Source organism: Homo sapiens, chromosome 10 (assembly GCF_000001405.40).
Source record: "Homo sapiens chromosome 10, GRCh38.p14 Primary Assembly".
NCBI lineage: Eukaryota > Metazoa > Chordata > Mammalia > Primates > Hominidae > Homo > Homo sapiens.
Window position 1 is genome coordinate 95,562,040 of NC_000010.11, and position 21,260 is coordinate 95,583,299.

Genomic DNA, 21,260 nt, shown 5'->3' on the forward strand with positions numbered 1-21,260 from the left:
AAAATAATTACTATTTTTATGCAGGAAAACTGAGGTGTAGTTTAAGTGGCTTGTCCGAGGTCACACAGCAAGTGGTGCAACCAGGATTTGAACCCAGGCTCTGAGATTTCACTCATGCAACACACATATATTTAGAGGCTCTGTGGCAGTGCTGGACCCCAGTGTTAACTGCAGAGAACAAGACAGGCAAGGCCTTTTCCCTTAGGAAGCTTCCATTTTAGTGGAGACAAGTAAATAAATAAGATCCTCTACAATGTGAAAAGTAGAGTGCATACAATGCAACAAGGTCATTGCAAGTGGGGGGAAGGCACCGTGTTAGATGGGGTTCAGAGCTAACCACTGTGCTATGCCATTCTCCTGACCTCCTCTAGTCCCCCTCAGAGTTACAGAAAAGGAAACAGAGACAGGGATCAGAGTGGGGAATCTGCTGGCCCAAGGTCGCAGAGCCAGCAAGTACTGGTCTGGAACTTGCTCCCTCCATGCCCAGCTTCCCACATCCCTGAAGATAAGACACTCGCCCTTTGGGCTGAGCACAACTGATTTTTGTCAGCTGCCCTTGCAAGCATCTTCAGCCAGAGCACATTCTCAGTGAACAGGCTGTGGGTGGCAGGGTAAAGACTGGCCTTGATAACTGCACAGACTGATCGGAAACTCATCAGCAAAGATTCTTAGATGTCAGGGAACGGTGACAAGTCTTTGGTGACCACCTGGTGTCCTCTGCTGTGTATTAAAAAAAAAAAGAAGAGTCCTAGCCATCTGGAAGCTTACTCTATAAATGAGAAAACACTGGGGAACTACTCAACCTAGGGAGCCCCCAGCCCACGGCCTTCCCCTATCTGCACCTCATCCTGCAGCTTTTCAAAGAACACTTCCCCGGCTCTCCTATTTATTTACTCCACAATCTGTGTAAGACAGCTCTCTCTGGGCTATAAAGTAATAAAACAGCTAGTATTTATTGAGCACGTCTAGGCTGCTATGCACCGTACTATACTTGTGCTAAGAGCTTTACATGCGTTAACTCACATCCACCACACGACCCCAGGTGGGAATAGTGTCGTTATCCTGAGGTTATCCACAGAGGTGTATAACAAAGGGTAGAGAGACTAGTTACTTACCCAGCAAATTCAGGGCAACACCATTTTAGAATAGCCAAAAAAAAAAAAAATCAAAACAATCCAAATATCCAATTTGAGTGCATTGGTTAATAATAGTACAACCATATGACAGAATATCATATATTAATAGCTACAAAAAATGAAGAGGTTTATTGACACATAAAGATGCTCATAATAGGCTGGGAGTGGTGGCTCACGCCTGTAATCCCAGCACTCTAGGAGGCCAAGGTGGGCAGCGGTGGATCACCTGAGCTCAGGAGTTTGAGACCAGCCTGGGAAACATGGTGAAACCCCATCTCTACTAAAGAATCCAAAATTAGCTGGGCATGGTGGCGTGCACCTGTGGGAGGCTGAGGCAGGAGAATTGCCTGAGCCTGGGAGGCGGAGGTTGCAGTGAGCCAAGATCGTGCCACTGCACTACAGCCTGGGCAACAGAATAAGACTCCATCTCAAAAAAAAGAAAAAAAAAAAAGATGCTCAGATTATTGAATGGAAAAATAGGTAGAAAACTAGTTTTATACTGCAATCCCATTAGAACTATTCTTATGGGATTGCAAGTAATTATTTTTGCTCATCCATAGTCTTCTGATTTTTTTCTTCATAAACATCTACCAACTTGTCCAGTGAAAATAAAATAATTTTAAGATGAAAAACCAGACTCTATCAATGAAGATTTCATCTACACTATCTCAAGGAATCTTAAGGGAGGCCTAAGGCTTCAGGTCATCCCTCAAATATTGAACCTCTCTGCTGTTTCCAGTCTGTGTCACTGTTGCATGTCTCACTGTAAGGCATAACATTGCCATTAGGATTTATGAAAGAAATGGTAAAATAGTGGAAAGTCAAGAAAGAAGGAAAGTGGAAAAAACAGAAAGAAAAATCCTACTGGTGGCCAGGCGCAGTGGCTCACGCCAGTAATCCCAGCACTTTGGGAGGCCGAGGCAGGCGGATCACGAGGTCAGGAGTTCGAGACCAGCCTGGCCAACATGGTGAAACCCCATCTCTACTAAAAATACAAAAAATTAGCCAGGCGTGGTGGCACGCACCTGTAATCTCAGCTACTCGGGAGGCTGAGGCAGGAGAATCGCTTGAACCCAGGAGGTGGAGGTTGCAGTGAGCCAAGACCACACCACTGCACTCCAGCCTGGCGACAGAGCGAGACTCCATCTCAAAAAAAGAAAAGAAAAGAAAAATCCTACTGTCCTTCAGGACTCATCTCAGGTGTCTCCTCCAAGAAATGTTGAAAGTCACGGTCTTTCGATGGGTTGGGTTTTTGTTTTTGTTTCTGTTTTTGAAACAGGGTTTCACTCATTCCTGTCACCCAGGCTGGAATGCAATGGCGCAATCTCGGCTCACTGCAGCCTTGATCTTCTGGGCTCAAGGGATCCTCCTGCCTCACCCTCCCAAGTAGCTGGGACTACAGACATGGGCCACTGTGGCCAGCTAATTTTGTGTATTTTTGGTAGAGACAGAGTTTCACCATTTTGCCAGGCTGGTCTCAAACTCCTGGACTCAAGCGATCTGCCCCCCTCAGCCTCCCCAAGTGCTGGGATTACAGGCGTGAGCCACCACACCTGGCCAGTCCTTCAATGTTTTAACGCTGAAAGCAACCCAAGAAATCATCAGGTGTAATCGTGTCAGTTCATCCTATCTCCAGTCATTCATAGATTCATCTGGGCAGCAGGCCCTGAGCTAGGTGCTGGCTACAAGGTGGTGAGAGAGATACTTGCTCCCTACTTCCCAAAGGTGAGCCCTAGGGAATCAGAGGCCCAGGGAGGTTCGTTTGGGCAGGGCCAGCCCTGTGTGGATGCAACCTGTGCTGAGGAGGGCCCCACACTTGATTACATGCTCTGCTGTCACCATCTTGAAATTCTTCATTTTTGAACAAAGGGCCCTGCCTTTAATTTTTGAACTGAGCCCTGTAAATTATGTAACTTGTCCTGGGGAGGGTGAACCTTGAGGCCTTGTCAGTGCATCAGTGACTGACCCTTGAGTAAAACAGTAAAACTTCCTGTTCTCCAGTCTCAGTCTCCACCGTTTCTCTTAAACCTGGGTCCACAGGGAAACGGGAGGACTCCTGCCTTCCAGCCCTACAGTGCTTCATTTCTTCCTTTCTCATGGAACTTGCCATATTTGGCATAAACTCCTGTATATTTGTGTGTAGTCTTATCCCTCATTTCCTCTCCCCAGCAGATTGTAAATTCCATGAGGTCGTGCCTTGTGTCTGCTCATCTCAAACAGTGCTTAGTCCTGTGTTTTACACGCTGTTTAAAATGTGCTTAAGTTTAATTTAATCTTATTAGTAACTCCTCGTTTTCTCTTCATGTGTATCAGATTATTCCCAGCAGTCCTTCCGCTGTTGGAGAGAATTTAAAATATCAGGCGGAGAGTCATGCACACAAACCAGGATCATAAACATGCTGTGGGACGCATCCCCAAGCAGGTCATAAGTGTGAGGAATTAGGAAAGGAGGGAGCAGGATTTTTCAGAGGACAGCCCAGAGTCGTCAGCCTTTACTTCATCTTCAGAGCCACACAGATTGGGAGAGAGGGAAATAAACTAGAGGCCCTGGAGCTGGCAGTAGCATAACAGTTAAGGCTGCGGGCTCCAGAGACACCTGGCAGAATCCTAGCTCCAGTGCCTAGTGTGCAGACTTCTCTCATCTGTAACCTGGAGAAAACACAACCCTCCATAGGTTTACTTGCAAGCTGAAGATGAGATCGTGCATGGATAGTGCCTACACACTGCCTGACACACATAAGCATCAATAAGTGAATATTATTTTAACATTACTAGGAGGCAGTGTTGAGAAAGACAACTTCTTAGAACACGTTGGTTTTGGTAAGTTGTTTTCCCAGTTACCCGAAATATTGACCATAGTCATTTTCAGAGATGCCGTGCTGGAGAATGCCAGGAGAAAAGAAGAAAACCAAATGAGAGAAAGAGAGTTATGAATCAAAGAGTTTTGCTGCTGTATCACCAAACACCCCTTGATGATTTTTGTCTAATGCCTTCTGTAGCATCTTACAGAAAGCGAAGCAAGTAGTGGAAAGAGCAAAACTCCTTAATAACTGATTGTCTTGTTTCTTACTGATTAATTACTGAGAAAAAAGTAAATCTACAAACGCGTGCCTCAGGGCACGGAACTGATTTGAAGATGATGGAACGCCCGAGCCAAGAATTCCACATTCCTTAGAGGTCAATGCTGGTGGACAATGCTTTAGGGAAGTTTGGTGAAATGGTGGAGGTTGATCAAGAGAAGTCTATGGGGCCAGGTAGAAACCCAGAGGAGTAGGAGGGATTGCTGTGCTTGGGAAGCAGGGATAGGATGAGTATGAGTAACCCCAGGACTCTGGTCACAGGGCCTCTGTTTATCAATCTATAAACACTGGCTCTGGCTGGCACACTGGTGCGCGCCTGTAATCCCAGTGCTTTGGGAGGCTGAGTTGGGAGGTCACTTGATCCTAGGAGTTTGAGGTTATAGTGAGCTATGATTGCACCACTGCACTCCAGCCTGGATAACAGAGCAAGATGCTGTATCTAAAAGGTAATAAAAATAAAAACACTTGCTCCAGTGTGTCTTGTGTTGTTGCTTGGGAGAAAACTTGTACACATAATAGCACCCCAAATATTGTACTGTATTTGACCAAATATCCAAGGTTTGGCTTGGAGATTATTTTATGCTATTAGATAGTCAAAATAAAGACATTTAAAATGTTGGCCTGACCAGGCACAGTGGCTCATTCCTATAATCTCAGTGCTTTGGGAGGCTGAGGCAGGAGGATCACTTGAGGCCAGGAGTTTGAGACCAGCCTGGGCAACATAGCAAGACTCTATCTCCACAAATAAATTTTTAAAAATTAACTGGGCAAGGCCAGGCATGGTGGCTCACACTTATAATCTCAGCACTTTGGGAGGGTGAGGCGGGTGAATCACTTGAGGCTAGGAGTTTGAGATGAGACCAGCCTGGCCAACACAGCGAAACCCCACCTCTACTAAAAATACAAAAATTATGCAGGTGTTGTGGCAGGTGCCTGTAATCCCAGCTACTCGGGAGGCTGAGGAAAGAGAATTGCTTGAACCCAGGAAATGGAGGTTGCAGTAAGCCGAGATCGTGCCACTGCACTCCAGCCTGGGCAACAGAGTGAGACTGTGTCTCAAAAAAAAAAATACATAGATATTAGCTGGGCATGGTAGTGTGTACCTGTAGTCCTAGCTACTCGGGAGGCTCAGACAGGAGGATACCTTGAGCCCAGAAGTTCCAGCCTCCAGTGAGCCATGATCACATCGCTGCACTCCAGCCTGGGCAACAGAGCAAAATCCTTTAAAAAAAGAAGAAAAGAGGGAGGGAGGGAGAGAGGGAGGGAGGGAGGGAAGAAGGATGGCAGGCAGGCAGGCAGGCAAGCAAAATCCTGTAAAAAAGAAGAAGAAAAGAAGGAAGGAAGGGAGGGAGGGGATGGGAGGGGAGGAGAAAAGAGGGGAGGGGAGAGGAGAGGGGAGGGGGGAGCAGAGGGGAGGGGACAAGAAGGGAGGAGAGGGGAGGGGAGGAAGGAAGGAAGGAAAGAGGGAAGGGGAAAGAAGGAAGTTGACCTCAATGGACCTTTGAGAGAAATTACAAGTACAGAATACACTTCTGTCAACTTCTACTGTGTCAATGGAAGGTTGGGGTTTGGGAGAGGGTAACACAAGGTGCCAATCTGAAGGCAGCTGCTGAGAGATCAGTTTTTTTTTCTGACTGGGGCAGGGGATTTATTGGTTAGAACATGCTGAGTTTACCTTAGAAGGCTTCCTACTCTAAAGTAATTACATTAATGAAGTGTTTACTTGAGAAAACCATTTTTAGGTTGGAGGATACAGCTGATAACTCTAAGAGAGGCATTGTGATTGAGACTGAAGAGATGAGGAGAGGTGCCAGGAAAGAGGAATAAGGAGAGAGAGAGGAGGAAGAAGAAGGTGGCACAGGGAAATTGGGAGAGAGCCAGAGAAAGTGAGATCATCTTGATGGACTGAGAGAAAAAAACTGCAGCTTCAGAAACAGAGCAACTAGGCTCACTAATATAACCCTAACAAGGTTAAAAAATCAACGACAATGGTGTTAACAGAATAACTGATGTTCTGGAAGCTGCTGGAAGCTTGTCAGAGGTGATTGGAACAGTTCACTGAGGGAACTCATTACACAGGACCAAATCAAGTCACAGGGGTGCCCTGGGAAGGCTAATTCCACTTCTTCAGCGTTTCTCAAGTGGAGATGCAGAGTGCTGGGGGGAGTGGAGGAGGGCAGAAGTGAAGGTGGCTGGACTGCGCATTGGGTATCAACCCCTTCTCCATTACCTCAGCAAGTCTGTCCTGTCCCCGAACTTGCTTTGCCTGCCCCCTCTCAGCAAAGCCTAAACCTTGAGTTACCTCGACCCACTTTCTTGAAGGGCAGTTTAGTAACCATCTCTGGTCACCTGGCCATGCCCCATAGGGATCTTACCACCTGCTCACCCAACTGTCTGAACCAAGTGGTTCATTCAAGTGTACATAGGCTGTCTCTCAGAGGAGGCCTGGGAAAGTCCTCTGTTTCCAGGGATGTTTGGAACCCTCTTTAAATGGACAAATCTAAGCCATGCTTGCATGACCTACCTGTTTCTGTGGCTCAGTTTGTAAAAAATAGATATTCTGAAAGAACCATGTCCTACAGCCAAAGGGAGTGAGGGCAACTGGACTTTGTAGATGGGAGAATGGGACAGACATACCTATCTCCTCCCTTAGGCCAAAAGAACCAAGGACTTCTTCATTTGACCTTGAAGGAGAAGTAGAGCAGAAACAGAGAGCATGCTAGAACCAGGTTTCCAGAACCTGTTGCAGCCCAAGCTGCCTCCTCCAGAGAAGAAGTGTTATTCACAGTGAATCCTCCAACAGGAGCAAAGTAAGGACTCCCAAGGGGTCAGTGGCAGCCCCTTTACTTGGGCTTGGTGTGGCCTCTATTGACAAGGCTCAATACGTTAAACAACGTGGTTCCCCCAGTTGGTATACAAACCATAGGCTGCTGGGTAGATGGGGCCTACTTTTTGATTCCAGAGGATGTTATACCCGGACTAGGGCTGTTAACTCCCAAATAGTTCTCAGAGGGTGGGGAGCAGCCAGACAGGTGGCCCTGGGATTGTAGAAAGAGAACTCTCAAACTGTTCAGTTAACCAACATCATGGGCCTATTGTGTTCCAGGTCTCAGTGTTGGAGAACCAGAAAATAAGGACCCTATCCTGAAGACACAATTGAGTGAAAAGACCAACAAATATACAGTCAATCACAAGACAATGTGATAAACAGACTCTTCTCTTTCTTTGAGATACAATTCACATACATGAAATTTATCTTTTTAAAGTGTATAATCCAGCAGTTTTTAGTATAGTCATAAGATTGTGCAACCATCACCACAATGAAATTCTAGAGTATTTCATCACCACATGCACAAAAAGTTATATCTATTAGCAGTCACTCCCCATTTTCCTTCTCCCCTAATCCCTGGTGATAACTAATGTACTTTCCATCTCTATAGATTTGCCTATTCTGGACATCTCATATAAATGGAACCATACTATATGTGGCCTTTTGCATCTGGCCTCATTCATTTAGCATAATGTTTTCAAGGTTCATCCTTGTTGTAGCATGTATCAGCATTTTGCCCCTTTTTATGGCTGAATAATATTCCATTGTACATATATACCACAATTTATTTATCCGTTCCTCAGCTGATAGACATTTGGGGTTGTTTCTACTTTTTGGCTGCTATGAATAATGCTGCTATGAACATTTATGTACAAGTTTTTGTATGAACATATGTTTTCAAGTTTCTTGTGTGTATACCTAGGAGTAGAGTTGTTGGCTCATATGCGAACTCTATGTTTAAGTTTTGGAAGAACTGCCAGACTGTTTTCCAAAGCAGCTGCACCATTTTACATTCACGCCAGCAATGTATGAGTTGCAATTTCTCCAAATCCCCACCAATACTTGTTATTGTGTGTAATTTTTATTATAGTCATCTCAGCAGGTATAAAGTGGTATCTCATTCTGGTTGGTTTGTATCTTTTTTATTTTTCTTTTATTTTTATTAGAGACAGGGTCTCTCTATGCTGCCTAGGTTGGAGTGCAATAGCTATTCACAGATGTAATCATAGCACATTGCAATCTCAAACTCCTGGCCTCAAGTGATCCTCCCGCCTCAGCCTTCGGAGTAGTTGGGACTACAAGCACTCACCACCCTGCCTGGCTTCTTATTGTGGTTTTGATTTGCATTTCTCTAATGATCAATGTTGTTGAGCATCTTTTCATATACTTATTGGCCACTTGTATATCTTCTCTGAAGATATGTCCATTCAAATCTTTTGCCTTTTTAGCTGGATTATTCGTCTTTTGACTGTTGAGTTGTATGAGTCTCAGTGGAGAGCATTTATCCAAGAATGAGGGTAGAAATGATGAATAAAGGGGTGGTTGCTTAGGGAAGCCTTCCTTCCTGGAGGAGATAATATCTGAGCCAAAACTAGAAGGATAATTAGGAAGAAGTAAAACAATCATTCCTGTATTCTACAAATATTTACTGAATTTCTCCTCTACCGGGCACTGAGGCTAGTACAAATTGATTCAGTCTTCACTCTCAAGGAAAGGATCTGTGATGGGTCAATGATTTCACATTCCCCACAGGTTCTACAGGACCCCAGCATGGCCTCACCCTGCATCTTCTCTGTTAGGCTGGGCCTTGGATCTCAAACCTCAGTTTGCTGGCCATCCTTGGGTTTCACCTGATGACCCCATAGGGGAAAGTGGGTGGACATTTATCCCCAGTGGTTGTGGTGGAGCTAGCTGACTGATTAGGCCTGTCAGACTTAGCTCCTTGCCTGGGACCCAGTTTCAGCAGGACACTCCTTATCTAGGATCAGACTTGGTGTTTCCTGATTCCTTCCCCACTTTTCTGAGCCAAACCATCTATTCTAATCAGGCCTCTGAAGAAGCAAGTGGGCTTCTGAACACACAGGGCATCCACAGAGGCTTTACCCATCCAAGCAACATTATGACAGCAGAAAAGGCCTCTTTATTATAGAATAGGCAACTCCAATATTTTACAATTTTTTTAAGTAGGTTATACAACAGCATGAATCACATGATCTTATTTTTTAAATAATTCTGCATGGAAAGAAATTTGGCAAGCATAAATGAAATTTAATAGAGATGAGGGGCTAGGTGTGGTGGCTTACACCTGTAACCCTAGCGCCTTAGGAGACTGAGGGTGGAGGATTACTTGAGGCAGGGAATTCAAGACTAGCATGACAATATAGCAAGACCCTGTGCCTACAAAAAAAAAAAAAAAAAAAATTGGCCAGGCATAGTTGCACAAGCCTGTAGTCCCAACTCTTTGGGAGGCTGAGTGGGAGGATTGCTTGAGCCCAGGAGTGCAAGGCTGCAGTGAGCTATGATTGTACCACTGCACCCCAGCCTGGGAAAGAGAGCAGAACTCTATTTCTAAAAATACATATAATAGAGGCCGGGTGCGGTGGCTCACACCTATAATCCTAGTACTTTGGGAGGCCAAGGAGGGCAGATTGTCTGAACTCGGGAGTTCAAGACCAGCCTGGCCAACCTGGTGAAACCCATGTCTCTGCTAAAAATACAAACGTTAGCCGGCTGTAGTGGTGCATGCCTGTAATCACAGCTACTTGGGAGGCTGAGGCACAAGAATCACTTAAACCTGGGAGGTGGAGGTTGCAGTGAGCCGAGATTGCACCACTGCACTCCAGCCTGGGTGACAGAGCAAGATTCTGTCTCCAAAAATAAAAAATAAAAAAATACAGATGACTTAATTTTTTTATTTTTGCTCATCAGTACTTTTTAAATTTTTTGCAATGATCATATCTTGCTAGTATAACATTTAAGGAAAAATAAACTTAGTGGCACAAAAATGATAGGATTTTAAAAATATTACTCTATATGTGTTATAAATGTGAATTAATTGTATAATACTTTTGTGATTTGCTCTTTTACAAAGTTCATAATCATATTATTTGCTAATCACATTGCCTAATACAGAAAATGGTTTAGAAACAGAGGTTAGTGTTGTTTACAAAACAGAAAATCTTTGCTTCTTGCACATATTGGCTGCCCAGACCTCCCAGTCTTAGCCATCAAATCTTGGCATTTACCAGCCTCTGGAAGCATAAAACCCTGAGTGAGGGAGTTCTCCTGGCCTGGTCTACAGAAGCTTAGACAAGAATTGCCACAGAAGCATCAAAACAATAGAATGTGATGTCGTGGGCATCCCAGGGGGAAATAATGCTAGATTGAAATGAATTTTTGCATCACTGATTTTCCCTGCTGATTGAGCCCTGTTTATCTCATTTGGCAGATCAGCCTCAAAGTGCATGAACTATTTGTGCCTCATTAGTTTCCAATAGATTGATTTTGCTAGGATTGCGAATTGGCCATCTTGAATTGCAGCCTGCAGAAGCCGGCTCTGGCTCAGCCTCAGGGGGACAGACACTCGGAACAACAGCCGCCACTGCAGCCACCACCACTGAAAAAGAAACCGGAGAGCTGTTCTAAGGCTACAAGGACAATAGTACCTTAAATCTTCTCTGGAACCAGACAGCATAAAATACGGACTTCTAAGAAAGCAAACAAGGGTCATCTCTGCTTTCTTTTCTTTCTCTCTCTCACGTATTCTCCTTGGCAACTGTCTCATCTTTCCCTCAATCCCTCCCTCCCTCCCTCCCTCTCTCTCTCATCTTAGCCCCTTCTTCAAATGTTAAAAAAAATAAAAACAGTTTTAAGAGAAAAACATAAACAACTTGAAGACTAGTTTATAAAACAGTGAATGCTGAACTACTTACAATATAGTGATTAGAAAGAAAAGCAGAATATAAAACCAAACATACAGTACAATGACATTGCTTTACAAAAAATATACATAGAAAAAAGGATTAAATTTTAAAAAGCATGCCAAATGTAGACAGCAGTAACTTTGGCTGGTGGGGATATGGATGATTATCGTTTTTTTCTTTAAACTTTTCTGCACTCAAAACTGTCTAAAATTATTAACAGCACACTTATCCTCAGAAAATTTTAATAAAAATACATAAAGTAATAAAATGGCACATATGTAATCAACTTAAAAAGCCCCCCCCCCTTTTTTTTCATTCAGTAAGGTGTATTAGCCTCTATAGGATATTTGCTGGCTTGGTAATTAAAATGTTAAGGGTAAATCCAGCTTTAGGCAAAATCTGATCCAGCAATCCAAGAGCCATTGTCAGAGCTCTCTCTTTTCAGTTCTGACTGCCTTTCTTTGGGTGTTGGCCCTATCCTCTCCTACTGCAATCCAGGATACCTCCACCTTTTTCCACTTGAAGGCGAACTTGGTGGTCCCAGATTCATACTTTTCCACTTCTGGGAACCCAGAGGTGAGATGTCTTTCCCCACTAGCTTCAATGAGACAAATACTGGGAAAAGACCAGGGTTGGATGAGTTGGGATCATGGACCATGATGAGTCATCCCTGGAATAATCAATGTGACAAGGGGATTGGGTACTATGAATGTCTGGTCCAGGTCACACGTCACGGTGGGAAATGGACATGGAGGAGGGGATGGATAAAGCACAAAAGCACCCAAACAAAAATGTCCCTAAGACAGCACAGTCTCCCCTGCAAGGATTGTATGATCTAGTTAGAAAACTAAGACAAGCATAGAAAAGGGTAAAACAAAAACAAGGAATAAACAATAAGTTTATTTAAACATGGCACAAGGCAGAACATGATTAATTTTCCAACAATAGCATAGACAGTAAGTCCTAGGCCAAGAATTCAGGGGTGGGATAACCTGAGCAAACTTGGTGGAAGGGAAGGAATGTAAGCTGGGTTCTGAAAGATGGGAAGGTTTGGAGAACAGATGGAAATGGCAACATCAGTTCAAACTAAGAGAATGGCCTGAGCGTAGCCACAGAGATGGTCAAGTGAAAGATGTGTGAGAATAGAAACAGGGTCAGGAATGTGAGTAATTTTAGTCACACGCTAGAGATATTAATTGGGGCTGGAGTGCAGTGGCTTTGAAAGCTAAGCTCATGACTTTGAATTTATGTGGTAGCCGGTGAGGAGTCACCAAGGTTTTTAAACAGGGAACTGGTGAGATGCAGGTCATACATAAGGACAACCTGCCTCGTGGCAGGAGCAGGAGGAACTGGAGCTGAGAAAGATCAGAGGCAGAACAACCAGTTGAGAGGTTGCTGCAATGGTCCATGTGTGAAGTAATAAGGGCTGGAATGAGGGAGGTGACGATGAGGAATGGAAAGGAAGAGACATTTCATTCATCAACTCATTCATTCATCCAACAAGCATTTGTTAATCACTGACAACCAGGAACTCTACTAGATCAGCCACTAAGTTCATCAAGGAAGGTGTGGCACGGCTTGCCTTCTGCTGGAATACCAGGTCCTAGCTGAAGGTGACCAAAGACCATGGTGTTGCTGTTAAGAGAAATAGCAAAGTCAGGAGAAAGAACTAGTTTGGGCATCTAAGAACAAATAATTCCGAATCTAGTTTGACGGTACAGCAGGGCGGGCAGATGGAACTATCCAGCAGGCAGGAGAAAATGTAGGACTTGACCTGGAGAGGGAGATCAAGACAGAAGGTTGAGATGTGGATACCTCTGTGCACAGGGGAGCGTCACCTCCACAGGAGCACTGTGACTTAGGAAGGTCTGAGCCAGCCTGACTGAGCTTTATGCCGAGCTCAGAGCAGGGACAAAAATGGAGATCTCTTTGCCTGTCCGCTCTACGTTAGGTGCAATATAAACCTGATACGAACTTCTGCCTCTTTCCTGTGATTCCTGACACGATGGCCCCATCAGCATCACACATGTTGAGATGATTTTTCAGAAGCTGATTACTTAAAACCTCTAATCCAACTCCCGTTTCACCTCTGGATTGAAAAGTGCTCTTCTCCCTCTGTCCCAGCTAGAAAAGGGTGTGCTGCAACCAGATGGTAAACTGTGGACAGAAATAAACCCTGTTCACATGTAGCAAGAATATTTATATCCAATCCCATAATATCACTGCAGGCATAATTATAGCCAATCCTGCAATTGTGCTGCGGGTATCAGGCATCAGAAAAACCAACCCAAAGTGCCACAGAGAGACCAGGGAGATATGGGAACTGTAGAGGCAGCTGCTGCCCCTGAGAGACCCCTGGGCAGAAGTAGGGTGGGGCTATTTAGAGATTATGGAGGGGCTCTGCCAATGGTGGTGAAGAGGGACGTGATAATTTCACAGATTACATAGCTCAAACTCCAGTTTCAGTAGTACTGCATGCTTTTATTTGTAACTTTTAAGAAATTATAAAATCAATGCTTATTCATTGTACAAGGTTTAGGAAATATGGGAAAGTGTCTATAATCCCACAATCCAAAAATAGCATTGTTGCTGGTATGGTGGCTTATACCTGTAATCTCGGCACTTTGAGAGGCCAAGGTGGAAGGATGGCTTGAGGCCAGGCATTGAGGACCAGCCCAGGCAGCACAGTGAGACCCTGTCTGTCTCTATAGAAGTAAATAAAAGTAAATAGCCAGGCATGGTGACATGCACCTGCAGCCTCAGCTACTCAGGAGGCTGAGATGGAAGGATCTCTTCAGCCCAGGAGTTCAAGGCTGCAGTGAACCATGCTAGTGCCCTGCACTATAGCCTGGGCAACAGGGCAAGACCCTGTATAAAAAAAAAAAAAAAAAAAAAAAAAAAAAAAAGTGGCCGGGCACAGTGGCTTATGCCTATAATCCTAACACTTTGGGAGCCCAAGGTGACTGGATCACCTGAGGTCAGGAGTTCGAGACCAGCCTGGCCAACATGGTGAAACCCCGTTTCTACTAAAAATACCAAAAAATTAGCCGAGTGTGGTGGTGCACGCCAGTAGTCCCAGCTACTCGCGAGGCTGAGGCAGGAGGATCACTTGAATCTGGGAGGCAGAGGTTGCAGTGATCCGAGATCGCACCATTGCACTCCAGTCTGGGCAACAAAAGCAAAGCTCTGTCTCAAAAAAAAAAAGCATTGCTTGCTAACATTTTATAATTTGTTGTTATAGTATTTTACTTTGCATATATGTGTTTTGTGTCATACTGTAAATAACATTCTACATCTTGTTTATTTCATTTAATATCATATTTCCTCATATTGTTAAGATATATTCCAAAACATTATTTTACTGTGGTATTTCAGGGGAAGAAGGTAACAAAAAAAACCACAAAACATTATTTTAAAACCTTTTTCTGTAGTATTTTTATGAAATGGAATACTATATAGCCGTTAAAATGAATAAACTAGAGCTTCATGTAGCAACACAAATAATTGTTAATATAAGGTTAATAAAAAGGTAATTTGCAGAGCCAGGTATTAATATATAATTCAATGTCATTTTTGAGAAGTTAAAAGCTCTAATGCCAGAAGCAGTGGCTCACATCTGTAGTCCCAGCACTTTTCAAGGCCAAGGCCTATGGATCGCTTGAGCCCAGGAGTTTGAGATCAGCCTGGGCAACATGGCAAAACTCTGTCTCTACCAAAATATAAAATTTAGCTGGTGTAGTCACAGCTACTCCAGAGGCTGAGGTGGGAGGATTGCTTTAGCCTGAGAGACAGAGGCTGCAGTGAGCCATGATTGTGCCACTGCACTCCAGCCTGGGCAAAATGGCAACTCTATCTCAAAAAAAAAAAAAAATCTGAAACAATATTATACATTGTTTATGTTGACTTACATGTAAAAAGTATAGAGGCCTGCACAGTGGCTCACGCCTGTAATCCTAGCACTTTGGAAAGCCAAGGCAGGCGGATCATGAGGTCAGGAGATCGAGACCATCCTGACTAACACAGTGAAACCCTGTCTCTACTAAAAATACAAAAATATTAGCCGGGCGTGGTGGCGGGCGCCTGTAGTCCTAGCTACTTGGGAGGCTGAGGCAGGAGAATGGCATGAACCTGGGAGGTGGAGCTTGCGGTAAGCCGAGATTGCGCCACTGCACTCCAGCCTGGGCGACAGAGCGAGACTCTGTCTCAAAAAAAAAAAAAAAAAAAAAAAAGTATAGAAAATGTATGGGAAAAATTTTCTGCAGGGAAAGAGGAAACAGGTTGAAATTAAGGAGGAGTATAAAGGAGCTTTGATTGTTTCTATAATTTGTTTTTTGGGTTTTTTTTTTTTTTTTGAAACAAGGTCTGGCTCTATCTCTCAGGCTGGAGTACAGTAGCATGACCTTGGCTCACTGCAACCTCTGCCTGCTAGTCTCAAGCCATCCTCCCACCTCAGCTTCCTGAGTAGCTGGGGTTACAGGCATGCACCACCACGCCAGGTTAATTTTTGTATTTTTTGTAGAGACAGGGTTTCGCCATGTTGCCCAGGCTAGTTTTGAACTCCTGAGTTCAAGAGATCCTCCACCCTGGCTTCCCAAAATGCTGGGATGACAGGTGTGAGCCACTGCGCCCAGCCTGCTATTTCTTTTAAAAGGATTTAAAACAAATATAGCAAAACCTTAAAATGTATTAAATCTGTGATGAATAAATGTGTTCTTTATAGTCTGTATTTTTCTGCATGTTTGAAATATAGACATCATTATTTTTTAAATTAGTAGTATTCATTTTTTAGAGAAGTTTTAGGTTTACAGAAAAGTTGAGCAGAAAGTACAGGGAGTTTCTTCTTAAATTCCCACCTCACAGTTTCCTCTATTATTACCATCTTGCATTACTGTGGGTCATTTGTTACAACCGATGAGCCAATACTGATACCTTATTATTAGCTAAAGTCCACAGTTTTCATTAGGATTCACTCTTTGTATTATGCATTCTATGGATTTTGACAAATGTATAATGACATAGATCCACTATAAGAGTGTCATACAGAGTAGTTTCACTGCCCTAAAAATCCTCCGTGTGCCACCTATTCATCCCTCCTTCCACCCAAACACCTGGAAACCACTGATCTTTCCACTTTCTCCAGTTTTGCCTTTTCCAGAATGTCACATACTTGGAATCACACAGTGTGTCTTTTCAGATAGGCTCCTGAATCATTTATTTTTTAAATCAAAAATTGAAAGCCAACCACAATGAAGAAAACAAAAATCATCAGAAACTTCACTATTTCAAGATAATCACTATTAACCATACACACGATTTACTTTTTTCATGTAAATGGGATCATAGTGTGCAAAATATTATATTGCCTTTCTTTTCCACTTAACAACATAGTATGAAACTACGTAATTCAGGATTTTTCTTCTTTTTTTTTTTTTAAAGTCTACAAGAATGTTTCACGATGTGGATTAAATTAGTGAGCTAACCGATCCTTTACTTTCAGACTATTAGGCTTTCACCTGTGGCATGAAGTTTTCCTGGCTTTGAGGATCCCCTCTTAAACTAGAAAAGGCCCTTGAAGTCTCCAGAGAAGGGGGGATATAAGGCTACTGGAAATACCTTTCTAGATATGTGTCACCTGTATGACATGTTTGACATTAAGTGTGAGTTCTCGGCAGTCAAGGACATTGTCAACCACTTCTCCCCTCATTACCAAACACATGAAGCAGGTATTGATGAACATGGTGGAATGGATCCAACTTGCCCTGCAACAATCACTTTGGAGTCACCTCTAAGGAAATTCTCAAGCCACACAGGGTGCTGACTCCTTAAGAGCTGGTACCGTACACTAGGAACTAAGAAAGACACCAGAGTGGTAAGAGGGTGCCCTGTTTTGTGGAGCAGAGCAAGACAGATGCTATGAAGAACTGGGATGACAGACTGGGTGGGGACAGTGGGCAGTGGGTGTGTCTGCTCAGAGAATCTGGAGGGTGGGAAAGTGAGAGCCCAGCACTACTGCCCTGAAGCCCAGTAGCCATGAGGGGCTGGAGTTTTATGTAGATGGAGGAAGTCCACAGGCTCCTCTGAGAGCATTTACTCTTTTTAGTCAGTTTATCACACTGGTTGAGAACTTGGGATCTAGTATGGGACTTCTGGTTCAAAACCCCACTCAATCACTCTCTGGCTATTTGGCTTTGGGCAAATGGCTAAGCCATGATGGCTCAACCCCAGAAGGGGGAATATAAAAGTTGTTGTGATGGTTAAGTGAGATTATATGTGCAAAGTACTTGGCACTTAGTGAGTGCTTGGTAAATGCTAGCAATAATAATGATGATAGTGATAATAAAGCTTAGCACCTGTTCTTTTGAAAAGAAAAGTAGTCACTGAGAGCATAAGATAGCCAAGCCAAGAAGATCAGCATGAGTCTCACACTGACGCTCCCACCTAGAGAAAAGCCCAGCACATTTCACCAAGGCAGGCATGCCTGGATTCAAGTGGGTGGGGCACTGTAGGAGCAGAAAATAGGAACACCCCATTAGATAACTCAAAAGGAATTTGGGCAACTTTAATGATTTTTGCAAGCTATCTGCCAGCCTATATGTATGTCCTCTGTGTTCATGTTTGTTCTCATGTGTAACCACCTCTAGCTCCTACCTTTTTTTGGGTTGCTGAATCCAGCCATTGCAGATGGATTTTCAAATGGATACATGGCCTTTGAAGTCACCTAGTTCTACTTCCCACCAATGAGGGGATTTCTGTGGAAAACACCTCTACATGTCCTCGTCTAATCTAGGGGATATCCTGGATTCCTCCCTTTCCTTCGGCCACTCCCAAGCAAACCTTGTTTCTATCTTCAAAAAAGATCTTAGATCTCTCCTCTCCTGCTAGCACCATTGGCACTCTCCTAGAGTAAGCCTCCTTCACCCCACACATAGGCAGCTAGTCCCTAATAGACTTACTGGCTATTCTTCCCCAGGAACCAGGGTACTTTCTAAAAATGTAAATCAGATCATGACTCTCTCTCTATCCTAGGCTGGGTTCCCAGAAGCAGACCCTGACACAGAAATTCATGAGCAAGTGTTTTATTTAAAAAGAGCCCCAGGCAGAAACTGGTAAGAAAGTAGGGAAAGCTGGACAGGGAAGTGGAATACATCAGGCAAGGAAAAGTCTGGAAGCCTGGATTTCAGGCCCAGACCCAGCCTCAGCCTGATTCCTCAGGAAAACTGCAGAATAAATTGCAGCCAGAACTTGTTCCTCCTAAACATAATGGGGCTGGGCTTTCGTGCCTTCACCTGACTAGCTGAGTGCTTGGCTAAGGAGGCTTTCTGTGCATGTAAGCAAAGAGCTCTGGTAGCTGAAGGGCTACCCTTGGAACAAAGCTGTATGTGCCCAGCCCTTAAAAATAAAAGCACACAGAAGCTGGGGAACCAGTACATCAAAACTGCAAAAGCGATTCAAGAAAACCTCAGCAGAGCATCAACCAACAGGATCAACTCCAGTTCCCTCCCTTATTTCTTATCTCAGACCCTTGTTCATTTCCTTTATAGAACACGTCATGGTTTACAAGTAATTTGTGTAATTATTTGTCTCTATCCTTGTTTGTCCCCACTAAAACCTCCAGGAAGGAGTGCTTGTCTTGTTGCCTTTTGTACCCCAGTCCCTAGAACAGAGATAACATATTGTGGATCTTCCACAAAAATTTGTAGGAATGAATGAATGAATCAATGAATGAATGAATCAATGAATGAATGATGGGACCTTGGTTTGGACACTTTCGGTGATGGGGAGCTTCTACAGCATGTAGCAGCTCATCCATTTTCAGAAAGCCTTAATTGAAGTTCAGTCCCAAGACTGAATTATAATCCACTTCCCTGTCATTTGCACCAACTGATCTCTCTGGAACAACTCAGGAGATTATTGTTTCTTCTATGTCTGTGCTTCAGCTATCCAATGTCCCAACTTTCTCTCATCCAGACTAATCAACTCCAGCTCCTCCAAAGTTTCCTTACTTGACATGGATTTTGTACCCATTGGCATCCATAAGTTGTTACGTCCCCATAAAATGCATAGCAATCCCTCCCATATTACCCTGAATACACCCTATCTTGGAAGAGAAACTGGGTCAGGTGCGACAAGAATTTGGAGGAGGGAAGCTGAGATAACCCAGCCAGAGCTCTAGAGTCAGCAGATCCAAGCACAACTGAATCTCAGCTCCACTTGCTATTGAAAGACTGATCCTGGGCAAAATGCTTACTTTCTCTGAACCTTAGTTTCTTCTTCTGTACAATGGGAAAAATAAGGGCATCCATATTACAGAGTTATTCTAAGAGTTAAATAAGACAAGAAATGCAAACCACTTTTAGCAGAGTGCCTGCCACAGCTTTAAGGACTCAGAGCTTCTGCAAACTTTACCTCTAACCTAAATGGCTCTCCATGCCCCTATAAGCTCCATTTTTCCCAGTCAAATCTTCCTGTTGGCCGGGTGCGGTGGCTCACGCCTGTAATCCCAGCACTTTGGGAGGCTGAGGCAGGAGGATCACCTGAGGTCAGGAGTTCAAGACCAGCCTGGCCAACATGTTTCTACTAAAAATACAAAAATTAGCCGGGCATGGTGGCGGGTGTCTGTAATCCCAGCTACTAGGGAGGCTGGGGCAGGAGAATCACTGGAACCCGGAAGGCAGAGGTTGCAGTGAACAGAGATCACACCATTGCATTCCAGCCTGGGCAGCAGAGTCAGACTGTCAAAAAAAAAAAATCTTCCTGTTAACCCCCCAGCTCTGTCTTGGACACCTCCAGACTTTTTTTTTTTTTTCTATACGGAGTTTTGCTCTTGTTGCCCAGGCTGGAGTGCAATGGTGCAATCTTGGCTCACTGCAACTTCCGCCTCCTGGATTCAAGCAATTCTCTTGCCTCAGCCTCCCGAATGGCTGGGATTACAGGCACCCACTACCATGCCCAGCTAATTTTTATATGTTTAGCAGAGACGGGGTTTCACCATATTGGCCAGGCTGGTCTCGAACTGCTGACCTCAGGTGATCCACCTGCCTCAGCCTCCCAAAGTGCTGGGATTACAGGTGTGAGCCACCGCGCCTGGCCCACCTCCACACTTTTTCAGTCATGATAAGCTTCTAGGTGATTTCCTGACTATTTTTCTTCCCATTTTCTCATTTCATTTTCCACCTACCTCTCCGCTTTCCTCATTACTACTCATTCATGTATCCACCACATAGCCATTCTCCCTTTCTCTTTTATGTGTCTTTCTTGCTCAATTAATTCTCTCTTGCTTATTTTCTTTCCTCTCATCTTTCTTTATAGCATGAAAACTCTAATCAGAAAGATCATAAAAAAAAATTCTCCCCTTCTATTCTGCCTTCTACCTTGGCTGCAGATAGCTGAGAGGAAATAATCAACATGGTAACAGTAAAATCAGTAAATGCTCATTTTCTTTTTTTTTTTTTGAGACAGAGTCTTGCTCTGTCGCCCAGGCTGGAGTGCAGTGGCACGATCTCGGCTCACTGCAAGCTCTGCCTCCCAGGTTCACGCCATTCTCCTGCCTCAGCCTCCCGAGTAGCTGGGACTACAGGTGCCTGCCACCATGCCCAGCTAATTTTTTGTATTTTTAGTAGAGACGGGGTTTCACCATGTTAGCCAGGATGGTCTCGATCTCCTGACCTCGAGATCTGCCCACCTCGGCCTCCCAAAGTGCTGGGATTACAGGCTTGAGCCACTGCGCCTGGCTAGTAAATGCTCATTTTCTCATCACTTAGGCATCTTAAGCTGCAGGCCATTTTTCATCTGCTCCTTGCCACAGATGGAAAGGTAAAAATCCAGGTTGGAAGGGAAGCAGTCAGCAGTGAGGACAGAGAAGAACCAGAAAACTCTCTCTCCCTTTCACCTATATGAATGATTCTGATTTCTTACCTCTTGTAATAGCAAAGATCTCCACTACAGTTATAGCTGTCTATCTTGTTCTAACTTTAATGGAAATGCCTTTAATCTTTTGCCATTAATTATGCTTTTTTCTAGATTTTGTACCAAACAGTCTTTATCCAATTGGGGGGAGATCTCTTCTGTGCCTAGTTAGCTAAGCTTATATAATATGTAGTTGTGATTATTAAACTAGAGTTTCTAGGTAGAAATTCGAGCACTGAAAGTCAGGGCAGCAGGGTGATAAGTAGGTTGGCATAGGAGGTATCCTGGGCTGGGAATATCAGAAGAAAGAATTGAGGCCAAGTGGGCAGGCTGGGGCATGGTGGAGAATCCTGTCCTGAGGGACTGTCATGGTGCTGATAGTCAC

At 43.9% G+C, this 21,260-nt stretch overlaps 1 annotated feature.

The window, feature by feature from the left end:
• Positions 5,953-6,247: a silencer, noted in NCBI's record as "tiled region #13709; HepG2 Repressive non-DNase unmatched - State 22:ReprW". NCBI's record gives its function as "represses a minimal TATA promoter and a strong SV40 promoter by Sharpr-MPRA in HepG2 cells {active_cell/tissue: HepG2}" and the evidence as "EXISTENCE:reporter gene assay evidence [ECO:0000049][PMID:27701403]".